Raw genomic sequence first — 20203 nt, forward strand, 5'->3', positions numbered from 1 at the left:
CTGGGGCTGGATGGTGATGATTGCTCTATAACAATGTGAATGCACATAATGCCACTGAACTGTGCACTTAAAAATAGTTAAAATGTAAGTTTTGGTAATATTTTGTTCAAATATATAAATATATACCAAATATATTTCTGCAATAAAAAATGCATCTATATCTTTTAGAATGTCACACCGTTGTTGGGAATGAGACACCCTTACTCATTTGGAGATCACTGCGAAAGCCCCATCCATCTATCCTTATACATTTCCAGTTTTGAATGTAACCTGACAGAGTGCCTGATGAATTCAGTCCATGCCACTGACATATAGGTTAAAAAGTATAAGAAGAACAAACATCATCATACATTGCAAAGAAATAACTTTTGGATACCTATTATGCAATAGCTGCTGTATTTGGCAGTAATAATAAATAGAAAAAGAAGACAAAGTTTTATCACTAAATTAGAAATGTAAATAATACTTACAATAAAATTTGGTGAGTGCTAAACAGATTGTATGCTCAGGTGCAGTGGAAATCTTGACACTCTGTCCTGAGATATGCTGAAGACAATTGATAAATACATTTTTTTTAAGGATTTGTCAAAGTGATAAAATTTATTTTGTATTTTTAAGATAAACATTATAAAGTTGTGATAGTTTCCCTATCTATAAAACATCTTCTGATTGCTGATACATATCTATCCCATTAAATTGTTATAAAAACAACTAAGGAAAATAATGGATATGTACAGTATCAATTAGGAAGAGATACAATCAAAACATTTCTTATCAAAAGGTTTTTTTGCAATGCACTGCTAACAGTTATTGCTATGGCAACTCAATTATCTTGAAATATTCAGATTACACTGAAACATCATACTATTGAAAATCAACATTTTCACTTTTATTATTTATCATACTTTTAATATAAAAATAACACTTGTTTGAGATTCCTTTGTTCAATTTTTCTAAAAGATAATATTAGAAAATATTGTCTATAGGTAAACAGAGTATTCAAGAACAATGAGTTTAGGGAAAAAAATAAGGAAAACCATCCCTAAACCTCACCATCCTATACAGAAATTTGAAATTTGAAAGCAGGTAAAAGTAAATCACTGTAGAGTCTTTAATATAAACTTTACATTTCATACATGAAAGCTTCAAGAGGAGGACCCAAAACAACAACATTGAATCAAAATACTACAAGTTTTTTTTTAAACAAATTTTAGAACCATTTATGATGGTGGTTCACTCACCTTCTCATAGGTTCTTCAAGGTGCAGGAAACTGACAAACAGGTAAGAGATAGTCATGCAAGTGATATGAGAGGAAAAAAGGGGTGGCACAAATGCTGATATAAATGTGTATAATTAAATGACTCATAGCAGGAAAAATGCAGCAACTGAGTAAACACATTTCCCAAAGAAACTACAAGAACAAAATATTCTAAACTCACAGTGACAATTAGAAGTTTCACTGATTTACATACTGGTTGAAGCTGAGCATATTATAAACCTACCAAACAAAACTTTTATCTGGTCAGGGATCAAAGAATTCATTAGTCATGGTAAGACTCATGTTAAGAGAGTTTATAAACATTGGGTATCCTTCAAAATGATTCAAACTGTTTAGTCTTCCTAAGAACATAAGAATATTTTGACATACCATATATTTTAAACCATAAATAGCTCAGCAATCAATTTCTCAAATCAGATATGTCTTGGGGTTTAAGCACAGAATATTTGAGATTGAAGGAATAGTGAGTAAAGCACTATATGGTAACACACTTTTGCATCTTTGATGTGGGAAATGGAGAATTTAATACAACTACCATCCCTTCCTTTGACAAAAATCCCTCTTAAAGTGGAAATTTCAGTTTAAAATTTTGTGTGCCTACAATTTTTTTTTATACTGAAGATAAAGATCTTTCAAAGAGTAGCTTTTCCTAGCCCAACACATGTTTAATTATTATCAACAATAGTTGAAGAGATTTTCCTGAAATATTGGCTTAGGGAAATCAGGATAGTGTTCAGAACGTTTAAACTCTCTGATATCACAACCTCAATATTTCAGTGACTTCATATAATCATAATGTTGTTTTTTTTTGTTTCCCACGCCTCGCTCAGAGTAATCCAACACAGTTATCCTTACTTAAACCATTTTCTTCCAAGTGACAAGGATCCAGGCTCTCTCCATTTTGTGACTCTACCTTCCTCATGCTCCTCAGTGTCCTGTCCATTTAGTCAGTAGACAGAAAAAGAATGGAAGACGGGGTGTGGGAGGATTTCACGAGCTGTACTTGAAAGTGGTATATATCATTTCTTCCCACACTCTTTTAGCTATAATCCAGTCATATGGCTTCATCTAATCCCAAAGGAGGATAGGGACTGTCACTGAGCTTTGTGTTTGGTGAACAGCCAGTAAATTGGGCAATTTATCTCTTCATAGATAAGGATTTCTATTTTCTGAGTTTATTTCTTGTGAGAACAAAACAAGATTTTATACTCACTTTATCTAACATTATCTGCTTTTCAGGCCTGTGTGTGTGAGCGTGAGCATGTATGAGTTTAATAAAAATATTACTTTGCCAAAACACTCTAAAGCAGAAGTTTGTTTTCATTCTACCATTACTATCTTTTCGGCATCATCTTTCTGCCTCAGGGTGCACATCTTTTTTGACTTCAGAGTTAGGCCAGAACACAGTGCTCCCATCACTATATTACACCCGGTTCTTCCTAGTATAACAGTACTTTAAACTCCTTTCTAGATGTCCAGTCCTCTTCAGAACGTACATGTCTGTTGTTGCATAATTTTAAGTATCATCTTGTGACTTGTTAATATGCTAAAGCCTTAATGAGAAATAGTATAAAGTTTCTCAGAAAATGGTCCCTAAATCCACTACATCAGAATCACCTGAGGTATTTGTTAACTTTTGAAAATCTAAACCAGGAATTGAGAATTGCAATCTCCTAGAGATGACTGAAACCTGCGTTTAAAAAACCACTTCCAAGTGGCTCTATTGCACATCAAATTTTAAGAACTAAAAGCTCAGTGGTACTATCTTCCAAGATAACACATTTCGATTATTACAGTGACCTTCATATAATTTCATATAACCACATAACAAATGTTATATAGACTTCAACTGAGATCAAATAAAACAAGGACACTGTTCTCCTCACAAAACTTTAATATTATTCAACTAAGACAAACACCCAAGAGACAAACATCTCTTGAATTCAAAGACAGCACGAAATGTGAATGCTGCTCCTAATACAAAATTTAAAAATGAACAAGGCTGTCATTTAGATTCTTTACAAATAAACAGGAAACTCAGGTAAAAAAATAGCAAACGGCTGATAGCAATCAGAACTGCAACTAAGTTAGATGAGTTTCCTGTAGCTTCCAGGTGTCTTTATAATTGAAATAAATGACTCCTTAAAAAAAAGCAAAATAAATTAAATTATGAAGAGAAGGATGCCTGACAACAGTTTAGAATATGTGTAAATGCATATATATTTTTAATGCATTTGACACTTCAAGATGCCTAGCTAGATAAACCAAACCAGGTCATCAGCTTTATACTACGTTTACAAGATAAAAATTAATATTTTTAACAGAAAGTATTATTTTATCGTAAAGTACTTTAATAAAGATGTTTTTCTTAATACCTTTCTTATTGGAAACTAAGTTTTCTAGAGATACATAAAATGCAATGCAAAGGCCCAAATCATTTCATTATTTAAATATAAAACAAAAGGTATGCCTGGAGGGGCATGGAACCCCATGGTTTCAGTCTGTCCTATACAAATATATACAGTACGTAATGATGATTGTTAGAATTATCTGAATTTTTATTAGCCCTTCCTTTTTGTTGTGATAACATTTCTTTTACTACTTCTACTCTTTCATATCAACACCACCACAGCTGCCACCACACCAAGAGTTAGATTTAGCTAGTTAGTTCCTGAAAATTCTTGAGATGAGGGTAGACACAGGAGTGAAGTGGGTAAAATAGAAAACCTCTTCTTATACCAATGAAACTTTTTATAAATCAAATACAATTTTTATTACTTCCTCAAAAGAATTAGCGCACCCTGCTGCTAGTGCCAAGGATGACATAGGCACCTGATGTACAGCACTTTTTCTCTTTAAATTCCAAGAATCTCTGAATACTGTTGAACATAATTGTTAAAATTCATGTTATTAAGAGTCTTGTTGAAAAAGTATGATTTTGCTAATTAATGTGAAATAGATTACTATTCTTTAATACAAATATTTTGTATTATTCTTTATTAATACAAACATTTAATACAAATTCACTATGGATGAGTTTTTTTTCTCCATATTTTAAATTCTTGGTCTCTGAAACGTTGATAAGGAAGCTGTTACTCAGGCACAAGTGATTCTGCATTGCTGAAAATGCTTCCCAATGTTCTTAGGAAGTCATGAGTCTTTAGTGATTAATATACCGAAAAACACTGAGCTGTGGGATGGGTGGTTCATCACTTTCCAGTAGGTGTGTTTTTATTTTGATTGCTAACTGTGACCATCCAGGAATACTAGTGCCATTTAACTACTTTGGGAATTATTTTGGTGGCTAGAATGTACAGCTATTCATAATTATGGTAATTGTATTTTTAAGTAGTGACTTATTTTTAAGTAGAGGCATTTAAGCATTTAGAAATAGAAGCTCCATTCTGGTGCCACTCCAATGTTGCTTTAGTGTATCTAATTGCCTAAATGGATTTCAGCTCTTTAGCTGCTGTCATTATAGCAAGTCCCAATAATAAGCAATGGTTACTCAGGGAAATGTGTTTACTTCGAGAGGATGGAAGCATTTGCACTGCTTTCTAAATGTGAATTCTGCCCAGAACTCATAAATGTGCTCATCGATGGTGTGACTTCTTTGATAGCTCTATTTCAATATACTAAATTGCACCTGAAGATTATTTGACAAAGTAGGAAGGAAAACTTCAACAGGTTTCCATGGCTTCAGGGTGAAGACTTTGAATCCCTATAGCCATCAGGGTAAAGATAAAAAGCCCTTGTGAACTCACTATTCCCATTTCCTCCTTTCTATCCTCTGCTCCAAACTGCTTGGCCACTTGCATTCCTGATTCTATCAGTCTCTCACTTCCTTTATTTCACTTATGTTTCCCCTGCTTAGTATTACAGATTATCCTTGGTGCTGTCAAAACATCCTGCTTCTTAGTCTTTGAAAATAATATAATAAACATTGTTTTAATAGAATTATTTTTCATAATTTTTTTTCTTTCCTGACTCCAAATTTAAACTCAAAGAAGGTAGGACTATTGAGTTTTTTCTTTGTTTTTTTTTGTTTGTTTGTTTTCGTGAGATGGAGTCTTACTCTGTCGCCCAGGCTGGAGTGCAGTGGCGTGATCTCGGCTCACTGCAAGCTCTGCCTCCCGGGTTCACACCATTCTCCTGCCTCAGCCTCTCGAGTAGCTGGGACTACAGGCATCCGCCACCTCCCCTGGCTAATTTTTTGTATTTTTAGTAGAGACGGGGTTTCACTGTGGTCTCGATCTCCTGACCTCGTGATCTGCCCGCCTCGGCCTCCCAAAGTGCTGGGATTACAGGCGTAAGCCACCGCGCCCTCCCGAGTTTTTTCTTTTTAAAAGATTCTTAGAACTTATGTTCAGCACAGAGCTGACATTCAATAAATGTTTGATGAAATCTGCCTCTGGATAATTTCATCTATTTGAAGCTAAGCTTAAGGGGCAGCTTTTTGTAAAATATTCCCTAATACTATACAATGAGCATTTCGTAAATAAGTATATTTAATGTTGAAGGTACTGGTGTATGTTCATTTGTGGATGCAAAGATGTTATGTCCCTGTGTGTAGGAATTAGGAGAGCAAGTGGTTAATGGCAGGGTCTGAATCTGAAAAATACCATAATATCCTTCAAGTAGTCACTTTTTCCATCTTATTTCCATTCTCCCTGGCTATGTTATGTATGTATATATGTATAAAGACATACTGAGAGACAGGACTAGCTGGATTTCCTAGGCGGACTAAGAATTCTTAAGCCTAGCTGGGGAAGGTGACCGCACCGCCCTTTAAATACGGGGCTTGTAACTCAGCTCACACCCAACCAATCAGGTAGTAAAGAGAGCTCACTGAAATACCAATTAGGCTAAAAACAGGAGATAAAGAAATAATCAAATCATCTATCACCTGAGAGCACAGGGGGAGGAACAATGATTGGGATATAAACCCCAGGCATTCGAGCTGGGAGTGGGCAGCCCCCTTGGGGTCCCCTCTCATTGTATAGGAGCTCTGTTTTCACTCTATTAAATCTTGCAACTGCACCCTCTTCTGGTCCGTGTTTGTTCTGGCTGGAGCTGAGCTTTCGCACACTGTTCCACCACTGCTGAATGCCACTGTCACAGACCTGCCGCTAACTTATACTCCTCTGGATACGGCAGGGTGTCCGCTGCCCTCCTGATCCAGCGAGGCATCCATTGCGGCTCCCTATCGGGCTAAAGGCTCGCCATTGTTCCTACACAGCTAAATGCCCGGGTTCGTCCTAATCAACCTGAATACTAGTTGCTGGGTTCCACGGTTCTCTTCCGTGACCCACGGCTTCTAATAGAGTTATAACACTCACCACATGCCCCAAGGTTCCATTCCTTGGAATCCGTGAGGCCAAGAACCCCAGGTCAGAGAACAAAAAGCACCCCGCCACCATCTTGGGAGCGGCCTGCCACCATCTTGGGAGCTTGAAGAACAAAGACCCGCCTGTAACATTACCACATACACAGACATGCTCTATATTTTTACGATTGAATTTCTCTAGTGAATTTATCATTTCTTTCCTTTTCCTCTTATTTCCCTGTTGAAAACATACTGAAACAAAGTTACACTTTGTGATTATTAACATTAGAATTTTCAAGCTAGAAATCCATGTATCTTCCCTCACAGTCTATTATCTTTATGAAGTAACAGAATGAAACCACCAGAGATAATGCTATATTTCAGTAAATAAATTATTTCAAATTACTTTTATCCAACCCTCATACAAATGGAGACTGTGGATACACTTCTATCCCCAAAGAGAAGTAATTTTCCTCAAATGCCTATATAAAAAATGAATTATTGTTCAATGATTAGTTATATGATAAGGATGAATATTTAATATCACTGCTTTTTAACTAGACTAATAAAATCGACATTTACTGTTTGGTTATTAAGATTAGACCCGGTTTTACAATAAAATTTCATATATTGGATAACCTGGAGAATCTACAGAATATTTTAAACAATAATTCATTTTTCCAGAAAACAAATTATTTCACTTCATGTTATTTTTTATAGTACATACAAACAGAACAAATATGTTTGCACTAAATTATATTTTTTATGGTTTATTTTAAACATTTTAGTGATAACCTTATCTTTCTAATAGTCCTATCACTTTCTGAAAGCATGATCCTGAATTTCCTCTGGTTTTATCAATCATAAAACATGATTTTAGGCATATAGTAATCTACCCACTTAAACAATCAACTTCTACATTTGGGTATAATTACTACATAATGCATGATGAAATGAATTATACACACCTTGGGTAGTGTGTTTCCTAAAGTCCGTCTGACAATTTAAAATTTAGAAATGCATACAAACATGGCATCCAAAATCCAGTCTCTGTATATTACAGAGGTCTATGAAGATTAAGGTTTTTTGCTTTTTCATAATTTTGTTAAGTTATAAATTTGAGGACATAACGAATTTATGACAGTTTTAAATTGGCCTCAAAACAATCTAGGATAGTCAGGGTTTCAAGAGCAAATTTTATCAGTGGGGCATGTTTGTTAATTAATGAATTACAAACCCAAACAGGAAGTTCCTCAGAGCCCAATGTTCTATCTATAAAAAGGGTCATTGAAAAACTGGACTGGGAATCATAATGAAATAAAATTATTTAATTTCACATTCTATTCATATCTCAGAACTTATACATAAAAGAGAGAAAGAGGCTCAAAGAAGAGACATAAACATTCAAGTTATAGAAATTCTGTAAGACAAGAATGAGGTGTATTAACCTCAGGCTCTAAAATAGGAGAAAATTAACATTGTGTGTAAATAGTTACGGCATTTTCAGAGTTAGCAGAAACTTCTCAGATGTTATCACTAACGCTTTGTAGATATTTTATTCCCTTTTGGAAAAACAAGCTCATAAAAACAATACTTCAATAAAATATATACGCCTAGTATTGTATGATGTACTGGTAGCACAGGGAAGAAAGCCATTTATTTTTAGAGATATTCAAAACCCTCACTGATCACCACTGCTGCAAAAAGTACAAGTTTAGCACTATAAGAGTTAAAGAGCAGCGGAAAATGCCCATCTTGTTATGGCAGGGGAGAGTATTAGAAATGAAACCTTAGTTTTATAAATTTCGAAACTGTACAGACAGAATGTGCAGTATTAGCTTTGCCAACACTATCTGGGATAATAAGAATATTTACCTGATAGAATAAGTCACATAAATTTAGAAGACCTTAATAATTTTAGGAGGGTACTTTGAACAAGTTTTCTCTCTCATGCTGTTTTTTAGAAACTGATCCTAGCAACTGGTTAGATAAAAATGATCAGAAATACTGAATGCAATGTGTTAAATGATTTTCAATGTTTAGAACTCTGTTAGAAAAAAATAACATTTTGGAAAAAGTAGATGCAAAAGAAGTCATAATATAGAAGTAAAATTTTTTTGGGGTGTTACCTCTGTGAAATCTCATACAAACTTCCAAGACACACTTAAAAATTTGGAATACCTCCTGTATGCATTGTGTTCCTTTTTCATTTTTGGCAACCATTTACATTTCCACCAATGTTTGTGGATCTACCCTCTATCAGTATTTTTCTTGAACTTGTGGGTTTAGTGATGAACAAAAATGATAAAATCTCTTCCCTATAAGAACATATATAATGACTACACATATACATAAGCCTATATGTAACTAATAAATTTTAAGGAACAATATTCAGAGGTGTGATACCATTTGAAGCAAATGGAATAAAAGAAGTAACAGTAAGATTACAAAATTTGGTGCATTAAAAATAACAAAATTATCTTAAATCCATTGAGGAACTAAACACTATTACAAATACATTTGAGAGGCAAGGGCAACAAAGGAAACCTCCTTGATTTAAAATAAAATCAATACTAAAATTATAATCTATTTAGAAATAATCAATAGCCTATGTATTAAAATATATGAATTATTCTCAGAGTGGTGGTCAAATAAAAATGTAAATATGTAAATGCGTTTGTTGGACTATAAAAAAGAACATATGTATTATCAAATATTAATTTTTAAAAATCCTACAAATATTAAAAATTAGAGCAGAAGGGAATAAAGACAAAAAATAATTAAAAGAATGTATTAAAAGCAACATTAAAGAAAATAATGCCAATACCTGTGTTTTTGAAAGACATATAAAGTAGAAAAAAGGCCTTTGGGAAATACTAATAAGAAAGAAAATAAACAACAGGAATGAAAAATGGGATAGCACACAAATATAAAAAACATTAAAAACACTCATTTTAACATTTCTAAGAGTTATACAGGTAATGCCCACAAGCTATTGACAGAAGTTAACACAAATTCTCTCAATTTTGTATCAGGCCGTAACGGTAAAATTTAGGAAAAATAGGCAGCTCAAAGTAAAACTACATGAACTATATTAAACAGGGAGTATGAGAGATAGGCCAATAAAGTTATATATTATGAACCTTTCCAAAAAAGATAATGAAGTGTCCATATATTAAGATAATAAAAAATAAGCTCGTATGTATACCTACTATGTAGTCAAATACATCAAGAATTAAAAAAAAAAATTTAAAAAGCTCAAAATGTAAGCCAGAAGAAAATATTCAAAAGCAGTAGTAAATTGAGATCTAATACAACTTATTGAAATGAAAATCAAAGATCAAAAATTAAGAAACTGATGAAAAAACAATAGCTTGGCTATATAAAGTTAAAATAGAAAAAGCATCTAGAATGCAATCTCAGAAAGAGCAATGGTAACTACAAAAGAAAGTTTGCATGACATGAAGAAAAAAGTTAGAAAATTTGATTGATGTCTAATTGGCATTTTAGAATAAGCTAATACAAAAGAGGTGTTTTTTAAACAGATAAACTGAAAATATTCCAGAATTGTTGAAAGAGTGGCAATTTAGAAAGCTCAACTATTTGCAAGCAGAATGAATGAATAAATAAGTAAACCAGAGTCCCAAACTATTCACAATATAGTAAAACTATAGAGCACTAAATACAGGTGTTAAAAGCACTAACTGGGTAAAAAAATGCATAGGAAGGGCTTTTAAACTGACAGTTGACTTCTCATCATCAAGGATCAAAACCAGATGACCAGAGAATCAGTTGAGTTAATCTTCAATGTGTTAAGTCAAACTGCCTACCAAGCATTCTCTACATAATAAAAACATTTCTCAAGAATAAGGATGAAATAAAAATATTTTCATAGTAAAATTTAAAACATTATACAGTCTGCAAACTCTAAGGGAAATTCTGAGACATTTATTTCAGATGGAAAAAGTATTCCACATGAAAGCTCTGAAATGTAAAAATAATGTGGGCAAAAATAGTAAATAAATTAGTAATAAAGCATTGACTGTATAAAATAATTTAAAAAATTAATTTATGAGAACACAAACAGGCTAGAAGTAATAAACTGGACAAAAATACCTTAATAGTTTAGAGTGGGATGATCTATCAATGGTTACAGCTGTTTAGGCTTCATTTATTAAGAAAAGGATGAAGAGTCTTTAATTCTTTAAATAACTTGAGACATTGCTAACTATGAAAGCTAAACTAGCCGGTCTAAATTAGACCTTCTAAACAAACAAACAACAAAAAGCATGAAGAAACAATAAAAAATAAAAGGCATGAAAGGGATAAATAAAAAGCCAAGAGAAAGCAAATAAAAAATTGACACAACTAGAAAATCATAAAGACAAATGTGACAAGAGTTTTTTTTTTTTTTATAAATAACCCTTTAAATGCTGTATACAAGTGGTAAATATAAAGAAAGGTTGAAACTAAAAAAGAATGGAAATTCAAGAGAAAGGATGTCAAGCAAAGGGTAACCAAAAGAATTGACAGTTATATTAATATTAAAACTAGTAGTTTTCAAGGTTAAACACATTAGCCTATAGATGAAGCAGGCTACCACACAAAGAGTTCAGTTCAGAAGAAAAATATAAATGTAAATTTACATATACCTTAATAAAGTAACTGCAAAGTATGTAAGAAAATGGAACTATAAAGACAAATGCACAAATCCACTATCATAGTTGGAGATTTGAACACACCTCTCAGGTGACAGACAACAAAAAATTAAGTATATAAGATATAAATTGAAACAAAAATTGCAAACATAATCTAATAGAAAATACTACACACAATCTAAAATGCATTCTTTCCAAACCTATGTGAAACATTAAAAAAGATGACATCACTCTTTATCAGTAAAAAAGATAATTCACTCACCAAATTTCAAAGTTTATTAAACAGATGATATTCTCTGACCAAATTAAACTTAGATTATCTTCTCACAATCAATAGAAGACCAAATTATTTTTCAAAGAAATTTATGAATCAATGAAATAATTATAACAGAATATAGGAAATGCTATGAATTGAATGATTGTGAAAATAAAGGAAGTCAGAAGAAATGTATAACCTTAAATATTTATTTGAGAAAACAAATAAAGATCCAAATACGTGAGTTGATCATCTGATAAAAGTAAGAGTTGACAAAAAAGGTACATCTTCTCCAATCCGAAAACAGAAAGTGGGAAAGATCAAGGTATCACTAGAGGTCAATGAAACAAAACATACAATAGTGGATGACAAAAGCCAATCTCTGAATCTTTGAAAAGAATATAATAAATGAACATCTGAAACCAGTGATCGAGAAATGTTTTAGATAAGGCACAAAAAGATACCAAGAATGTTAACACTAGGCTGTACATCCTAAAACAGTCAGATGAGCTCACTGTTATAATTCTGGTTCACCGCAAGAACCTTAGCACAAAGAAAGGACTCAACAAACATTTGGATCCATGAATAAAATTATCTTCCCACATATAACCACCTGCCTAAAACATTCTCCTCCTCCTTGAATTAAATTCACCATGTCTGCATCATAGGAGGCCCAAGGCCAGTACCCCCTCCCCATCTGCACACCCTGTGTTCAAACCAGTCCCAGCTCCTGTCATGTTATTGGCTTCTGAGTATCTGTATTAATAGTTGTTCCTGCCAGCATATGAAGATGAACAAATACACAACTGAGAGAGATCCAGGGATTTTAATCCACAGATGCCAGAGCTTGCTGGGATGTAGTCAGAAATCAAGCTGAACTCAGGAGTTCACAGTCTTTCCTGTAATGATGGTTGGGAGGTGAGGGAAGTCAGAGGCCTGGGGAAGAAGACAGGGGTTAGCTCTGGGTGGGCTAAGCATGGGAATGAGGTGTAACATAAGCTCTTTCCTGTTCCCACCATCCATCTGCTCCATGGGTAGCAGAGCTCAGATGCAGAGAGAGGTAAACCAGGCTTTCCCTCCTTCCACACTTGCAGTCCAGGGACACCAAGGCCTGAGTTGGGTCTGACCTTTTCTAGGATCTTTCTCCATGCTGCTGTCCTCCAGGAAGTCATGGCAAATTTACATCTCCAGCAGGTTGTAGACCAACAGCCTTGGAGAAATACAGTATAGACAGTGGGTAAGGCCAATCTCCCAGCTTCTGTCTCCACCTGCCAGCCCATGCCCACCTGTTCCATCTCTCATTTACCTTGAAGGACACACCAGGGTCTCTCCCCATGGTGTCTCCTGTACTCTGCTCCTGGGGTCGAGTCGGCTGCTGGGGTTTATCATCTGGAAGATTCTCTGCCTCAGCCTCAGCCTCAGGGAACAACAGCTTACCCTGCAGGGTATACAGAAGCTGGAGGAAGGTCTGATACCTACAAAGAGGAGGTAAGTGTGAAGGAAAGGAATCTCAGCTGGACCATTTTGAATCTGCAGCCCATGCTCCCGAACTTACCTCTGCAGCTTGTCCCGCTCCTGTTCTGCCTGCTGCTTCAGGTTTCCAAGTTTCTGAAACACCCTGTCAAGCTCCTGCTGAGTCCCTGTCTTACGCTCCCTCACCTCTGCAGAAACCTCCGCCAGATGCTGCAGATGCTTCTCCTGCCAGGAGTGAGCATGCAGACATTATGCATCAGATGTTGAAGTCTTAGAAACTCCCTCCAACCCCTCCAGCCTACACCCAGCTCAGGGCTCAGGCTCAATGATGAAAAGAGGGACTCTATTCACTTCAGGGTGGAGTAGGGGCCTAGAGAAAAGGAAAGATCAGAATGAGCTGTTCTAGGGTGAGGCATTCTTGCGGGGAAGGGGCACAAAGGTGATAACACTTATTTAACTTGCTATGTGCCAGGTACTATTTTAAAGTCCTTGCTGTAATGATCATTTAATCATCTTAATAACTCTCTAGAGTAGGTGGTATTATTGCCTTCATTTTAAATAAAGAAACAGAAAGTTAGGTGACCTGCCCAAGATCATGCAGTGGTAAGTGGTGACACTGAGATTCAAGCCCATGTTGGTATTTATATTATAGTGCCTCAAAGGAGGAAGCAAAACGGTTTTCTAGACAGGGGACACAGCCGATACAATGGCATGGTGGTGGGAAGGGATATTCTCCTAGGGGGACGAACCTACCTGTTGTAGCTGCCACTGGTTCTGGACTGCTCTGCGTTTCTCCATGGCCATTTGTTTCTACAGATAAGCAAGGGAGAAAGACCAAGAGAAGTCTATTTTTTCTGGCTAGAATTTTGGGAGATTGCAAGCTGGCACAACTCAGCTTGCTCACTCTTTCCCTCTTCCTTTCTAACTGCCCTTCCCTCCCTGTACTCAAGACCCCTGGGTGTACCTTGGCCTGGAGCTGCTCAAAGGCTTCCCGGAGTTGTGTCCGTTTCCTCTGGGCTTCCTCCATCTGAGTCAGGGCCTTGGTGAGGCCAATTTTGATGGCCTCTACGTGCTCCCTGTAGGTGGCCTTCAGCTCTTTCCATTGTTCCTTAGCTGCAATTGCCTTCTGTCCTGAGATGAGCCACCAGGAATGAGTACATGAGTGAGGGTGGCCTGCTAGCCTGCCTCCCTGCAACACTGGGCCTCCTTCCCATCAGCCAAATGGGAGACCTAACTGAAATCCTCCTTCCTTCCCCACTCAGGTCAGCTGCTACTACAATCCCCTGCCTACTCACGGCTCGTGTCTTCAGAAGCCAAGGGGTCGAGACCCTTAGCAGTGTCCTCCTGAGCCAGGATGTTCTGCAGGAAATCCGCTACCTGAAGCTGGCTGCAGAGCAGCTTGTCTTTCTTCTGAGAGTCCTGCTCAGAGGGAGGGCAGAGACAGGGAACATCCTTACCTCCTTACAGGTTTCCTTAAGTCTGCTCTCTGCCAGTGCTGCCCTGTATCTCAGTAAGAGGAGCCAGGACCAGACCCTGGCTTCTGAAAGGCTCGCTCTCATCTTGTACATACCACCACAAACTCAACCAGGATCTTGGCTGGCAGTTCTGCCTCCTCCTGCAGGCCTACAGGTTCCAAGATGCCTGCCACCTCAGCCAGGACCCTGGAGGGGCAAGGAAACACAGGAAATTGCAGTTTCTTGTGGTGCTAGTTCTACAGTTCGTGTGTGTACACAAACAAATGTGGATGTGTATATCAGTATATATAGTATTGAGAGTCTTGCCTTGACCAGAGTTTACACAAGGGCCTGAAGGGTCCACAGCCTGCAACCAGGAATGGCGTGCATGGAGGGCACACGGTGGTAATACGTGCCAAAAGGAAAATCAGCAGGGCTAGTGGATAAGGAGTTTGAGAAAAGAGCTGAAATTTTAAATAGGGAGTGTCTCACTGAAGAGAAATCATTTGAGTCAAGATGTGAAGGAAGCCAGGGAGATATGCAAGGAAGGGGAAGAATGCTGGGCCTTGGGATCCCTCCTGGCGCTGAGCACCAGCCTTGGGGCAGAGTCTTGGAATAGCTGAGAAAGGACTCAGGGCAGAGGGCTGGATGCCTCGGTCTACTCTAGGGTTTTTCATTATTAGGGACTGGAGCAATCTACGAAGGGGCAGGGATGGGGATGAGAAGTGACTGGGAATGTGTCGTGTTGGGACAAGAAGACAGAAGTGAAACCGTCTCCTAGAGCACATCCTGTGGATTATGTGGATGTGGGGAGCGGCGAACGGTCCCCCAAAGGCTGTACTCCTGGAGCAGGCAACAGACACCTCAGGAACCTAAGACGGGACTGCGGTGAGGATCACTTCACGGCAGGGTCGAACCTCAACAGCTGTACAGGGTCGAGGGCACCAATCATTACACATAGGGGCCCACAAGGTCCTCCCAGGCCCGGCCCCAGCTGCCACTTAGCCGCAAACACTTACTCTAGGGCTGCAGCTTCCGCCTCTGTCTCCGCTGCCTCCATCTTTCCAGGCGCCGAGTTCAGCTGCCTTCCCACAATCCCTAAGATTACTTTGAAGTCACAGTCGACTTCGCGCCGGGGCAGGCGATTGGCTGCAGAGGTTAGTGGGCGGGCATCAAGGACCATTGTGCGCTCTAATTGGCAGGCGCGGATTCGCTCGTTGGCGGGCCTCGCTGCTTGGCGCAAGCGCGGTTATGGCTAGGCGCGCACGGGCTCTGCGCCTGCGCGCTAGTCCTTACGCGGTGCCAGAGACTATAAGTGGGCTTGAGCTCGACCGCGCGCCTGTGGAAGTTCTTTCTCTACTCGAAAAAGGGAAAGCATTTCCTTGAGTTTGCGTTTTAAGGGAAACTTACAGCATTGACACTTTATTTAAAATATTCACTACTGCTGTAGAAAAAAAAAAACAAAACCCCGAAAAACAGTGGGGCTGTTTCTAAGACGCTGGGAATCAGTAAAGAATAGTGATCCGGGAGATACAGGAAGCAAATGATCTGCGCTCAAAAAGCGAGCTGCTTTCAAAGATATTAGTATTTTATAGATGCGATGCAGGAGAGTGAACTCAAGCAGAGCCCAGCCGATTGCCTGCGTTGGCAAAATAGAACAGATATTCTGGGGAGACCAAGGTAGGTAATGTTCTTTGCAGAGTACAGGAGAAAGATAACTGCTGAGAGAGAACTTGGTATTCATTCAGCTGAGTACTGAGCAGTATGTGTCTCAAGAAACTAGCTAAAAGATTTTTAAAGATACCAGGACATGGCCGGTCGCGGTGGCTCACGTCTGTAATCCCAGCACTTTGTGAGTCTGAGGCAGGTGAATTACGAGGTCAGGAGTTTGAGACCAGCCTGGCCAACATGGTGAAACCCCCGTCTCTACTAAAAGTACAAAAAAAATTAGTTGGGCGTGGTGGTGGGCGCTTGTAATCCCAGCTATTCGGGAGGCTGAGGCAGGAGAATTGCTTGAACCAGGGAGGCTGAGGTTGCAGTTAGCCGAAATTGCGCCACAGCACTACAGCCCTGGTGACAGTGCGAGACTCCGTCTCACAAAAAAAAAAAAATACATATATATATATATATAAATATATATATATGGACATTACAGAGGGTCAGAAATAGTCTCTATTTCCACTAACCAGGCTGGAAAACTTCATAGTCCGTAGGACACTGGACAGAGTACACACAAAAAAGTCTTGATTTGATAGTTGTTTACTAATTATTTAGTAGGCAGTAATTAGTCCTAGCTGATCAGTGCTGTAGTGCCATCTAACTCTTAAAAGTAAGACCCAAATGGATCAAACTTAACAAACCATGACAGATGACAAGACCAAACTTCAGCAGTATTTATAGAAATAGAAAAATGTTCACCAAAGGTGCAATTTACATATGTCATACAAAGAAAAATTACCAAGCTTGCAAAAAGAAAAAAAAAAACACATAATGAGGAGAAAAATCAATTGCTGATCAGAACTGAAGTAATGTTAGAATCAACAGGCAAGGACATTAAAACAGTTATTGTAACTATATCCCATATCTTCAAAAAGATATCAGAACTATAATGAAAAAGGTAAGTGGTGCTAAGGATGTAAAGAAAGTGGAATTCTCATGTTGATGGAAATGTAAACTGGTGCATAGGCTTTGAACGTAGGGTTACCATATGAGTCACAATTTCATTCCTAGTTATATATCCAAGACAAATAAAAACATGGGGACACAAAAGTACACAAACCTCTATAGCAGCATTATTCACAAAAGCTGAAAGGTAAAAACAACCCAAAGGCCCATTAGCTGGTGAGTGAAAATGCATACTTTCATTCAATGAAGTATTAATCAGTAGTAAAGAGAACTTTATTACATGCTAAATAATGGTTACTACATGCTAAAATATGAACCTTGAAAATATACTAAGTGAAAGAAGCTAATTACAAAAGACCACATAATATATTATTTCATTTATGTGAAATGTCTAGATTTGACAAATCTATAGCAACAGAAAGTAAATTTATATAGTGCTTGTCCAGGGCTGGGGATTGGTGGGAATGAGAGGTTGAGAGAGTATGGGGAGGGACTGCAAATGGATATAGTGTTTCTTTTAAAGGGATAAATAAAATGTTCTACACTTCGGTTATGGTGAAGGTTGTACAATTCTATACAGAAAACCGCTAAATTTACACTTTACTGCTGTCATAAAAGCTGTTAAAAAAGTTAATCAAAGACACAAAGCTTGTAATAAAGACCTAAATCAAACTTGTAGAGGTGAACACTACAATGTGATAGATGGAATTAGATGGTATTAATATAGTATGTTACACATTGCAGAATGAAAGTGAAACACAGCTCTAGAGAAACTACCCAAAATCAATCACAACATTAAAAAATGAAAATAAAGTAACATGAACAAATCAATGGTGAGCTGTGAGACAACTTCTAACAGCCTAATAATATACTTGAAAGTGGAGTCTCAGAGAGGCAAGGGGAGAGGACAAGAAAACAAGTAATAAAGACCAAAAAATTTGAAATGTGATGAAAAATATAAATTCATATATTCAAGAAGCTTCACAAATCTCAAACACAAGAAATATTAAGAAAATGACATCAAGTTATACCATAATTGCATAACTCAAAACCATTGATAAAAAATTCTAAAGTAATAAGGGGTGTTGGGGCACATGTTACATAGAAACAAAGATAAGGATTACGGGAAATTTCTTCTTGGAACAATGCAAGCAAGACAGTAGAGTAACATCTTTCAAGTACTGTAAGAATAAAAAAAAGTCAACCTTGATTTCTGTTTCCAGCAAACAGCTTTCAAAAATGAAGACTAACTAGGCTGGATGCAGTGGCTCACACCTATAATCCCAGCACTTTGGAAGGCCGAGGTGGGCAGATCACGAGGTCAGGAGATCAAGACCATCCTGGCTAACACAGTGAAATCCCCCGTCTCCACTAGAAATACAAAAATTAGCCAGGCGTGGTGGCGGGCACCTGTAGTCCCAGCTACTCGGGAGGCTGAGGCGGGAGAATGGCATGAGCCTGGGAGGTGGAGGTTGCAGTGAGCCAAGATCGTGCCACTGCACTCCAGCCTGGGTGACAGAGCAAGACTGTCTCAAAAAATAAATAAAAATAAAAAAGAAGGCTAACTAAAGACATTCTTAAACACACAAAAATGGAAGGAAATTTTCAGCATAAGATCCCACATGAAACAAGAAGTTCTTCAGGCAGAATGAAAATGGCATTAGCTTCAAATCTGAATGTATACAAAGGAGTGAAATGTGGTCCTGGCTACTTAGGAGTCTGAGGTGGGAAGATCACTTGAGCCCAGTTCAAAGCTGTGATGAGTTGGTCATGCCATTGCACTTCAGCCTGGGTAACAAAGTGAGACCCTATCTTTAAAGGAAAAAAAATTGTGATGTGGGTTTTATAACATATGTAAAAGTAAAATGTAGCACAAAGTGTGGGAGAGAAGAAATAAAAGTAAATTTATATGCTTGTATAGTTTCTCTGAAGTTTTGTTATCAGTTGAAGGTGAACTGATGAGTTAAAACTGTGTTCTAGACTCTCTGAAGCAATAGTGCCAACACACTTTAGAAGGGCTACCAGTGAGTCATTTCCTTGTGTGATTTCTTTCTTTCTAGTGCAGATAGAAATTGTGACCAATAGAATACAATAAAGGTGATGGGATGTCATTCTATTGATTAGGTTGCTTGTTAGGCAGAGGGGATAGCATGCCACTCTCATGCCTCCATTTCCATGTATAGCAGAAGCTTAGCAGACTGCACAAAAAAAAGAGGGATTCTCCTTCTGGCCTGGAAGAAGCATACAACCATGTTGTAAGTTGCCTGTGGTAGTTATCACATGGCAAGGAACTCTGAGTGGCCTTTAGGACCTGTAAATAGACCTGAGCTGATAGCCAATGAATAGATGGGGCCCTCAGTCAAACAGCCCTGAGGGGATTAAGTTTCTACAAATAATCAAATAAAAAATAACGCTACTCAGTTAACATCGTGATTGAAAACTTGTGAGACCTTGAGCAGAATGCAAAACCTTGACCCAGTGAAACTGTCTTAAAATCTTGACTTGTAGAAACTGTGAGATAATAAATGTGTTTTTTTAAGATTCTAAATTGTGATAATTTGTTACATAGCAATAGAAAACTATTATAAACTTCTAAAACAAAGAATTGTAGGTAACAAATCAATAAAGGAGATAAAATATAAACAACTAATCCAAAAGAAGGCAGAAAAAGTGAAGACGAACAAAGAAAAAAATGAAGAGAATAAAAAACAAATAGCAAAATGATAGGTATAAGCCTAAGCATATGTGTTATCACCGTTAAATGTAAATACCTTAAATATACCATTAAAAGGGAGAGATTATTAGATTGGATACCACAGCAAAATTACGTTAAGTACACTAAATATAAAGAAATAAAAGGATGGAAAAATACCATGCTAATATTAATCAGATGAAAGCTGAAGTGGCTATTTTAGGGCATATATATACACACACACACACACACACACACACACACACACACACACACACATATATATGTATATCTATATATATATATCTATATATATATAGATATATAGATATACATATATATATTTGGGCAAAAGGCTGTCACCAGAAATAAGAAAGTGATATTATCATGATAAAGGGGTCAATTAATCATGTGAACTTAATCATAAATGTTTTTGGAC

General features: G+C 37.2%; 1 protein-coding gene and 1 long non-coding RNA gene across 5 annotated transcripts, besides 5 other annotated features; one reads left to right on the plus strand and one right to left on the minus strand.

The window, feature by feature from the left end:
* Positions 11498-15544, minus strand: ZWINT (ZW10 interacting kinetochore protein). 4 transcript variants are annotated; one of them, XR_428692.4, is made up of 9 exons: positions 15467-15544; positions 14564-14654; positions 14289-14412; positions 13958-14124; positions 13747-13803; positions 13076-13218; positions 12827-12958; positions 12648-12730; positions 11498-12456 (listed from the first exon to the last, which is right to left on the minus strand). XR_428692.4 is itself a non-coding variant. In NM_007057.4 (9 exons), the coding sequence occupies exons 1-8, from the start codon at positions 15505-15507 to the stop codon at positions 12689-12691; spliced, it is 834 nt and encodes a 277-aa protein (NP_008988.2). In that variant the 5' UTR covers positions 15508-15530; the 3' UTR covers positions 11498-12456; positions 12648-12688. The 4 variants fall into 4 exon arrangements, 3 of the variants coding, with proteins under 3 accessions (NP_008988.2, NP_001005413.1, NP_127490.1); NM_007057.4 differs by having other exon boundaries at positions 12827-12995; positions 15467-15530; NM_001005413.1 differs by having other exon boundaries at positions 11709-12456; positions 13180-13218.
* Positions 13415-14614: an enhancer, noted in NCBI's record as "CDK7 strongly-dependent group 2 enhancer chr10:58118905-58120104 (GRCh37/hg19 assembly coordinates)". NCBI's record gives its function as "activates an origin of replication core promoter dependent on BRD2, BRD4, P300/CBP, MED14 and CDK7 cofactors, with strong dependence on CDK7, by STARR-seq in HCT116 cells {active_cell/tissue: HCT116}" and the evidence as "EXISTENCE:reporter gene assay evidence [ECO:0000049][PMID:35650434]".
* Positions 13760-14500: an enhancer, noted in NCBI's record as "H3K4me1 hESC enhancer chr10:58119250-58119990 (GRCh37/hg19 assembly coordinates)". NCBI's record gives its function as "activates a minimal SCP1, AML or CMV promoter by ChIP-STARR-seq in primed H9 embryonic stem cells {active_cell/tissue: H9 hESC(primed)}" and the evidence as "EXISTENCE:reporter gene assay evidence [ECO:0000049][PMID:30033119]".
* Positions 15240-15979: an enhancer, noted in NCBI's record as "H3K27ac hESC enhancer chr10:58120730-58121469 (GRCh37/hg19 assembly coordinates)". NCBI's record gives its function as "activates a minimal SCP1, AML or CMV promoter by ChIP-STARR-seq in primed H9 embryonic stem cells {active_cell/tissue: H9 hESC(primed)}" and the evidence as "EXISTENCE:reporter gene assay evidence [ECO:0000049][PMID:30033119]".
* Positions 15328-15497: an enhancer, noted in NCBI's record as "active region_3381". NCBI's record gives its function as "activates an Ori minimal core promoter by ATAC-STARR-seq in GM12878 lymphoblastoid cells {active_cell/tissue: GM12878}" and the evidence as "EXISTENCE:reporter gene assay evidence [ECO:0000049][PMID:35858748]".
* Positions 15588-15797: a silencer, noted in NCBI's record as "silent region_2374". NCBI's record gives its function as "represses an Ori minimal core promoter by ATAC-STARR-seq in GM12878 lymphoblastoid cells {active_cell/tissue: GM12878}" and the evidence as "EXISTENCE:reporter gene assay evidence [ECO:0000049][PMID:35858748]".
* LOC124902546 (uncharacterized) lies at positions 15730-18990 on the plus strand. The gene is made up of 2 exons (XR_007062372.1): positions 15730-16127; positions 18296-18990. It is a non-coding gene; the product is annotated as an uncharacterized LOC124902546 (long non-coding RNA).

Source organism: Homo sapiens, chromosome 10 (genome assembly GCF_000001405.40).
Source record: "Homo sapiens chromosome 10, GRCh38.p14 Primary Assembly".
Lineage (NCBI taxonomy): Eukaryota > Metazoa > Chordata > Mammalia > Primates > Hominidae > Homo > Homo sapiens.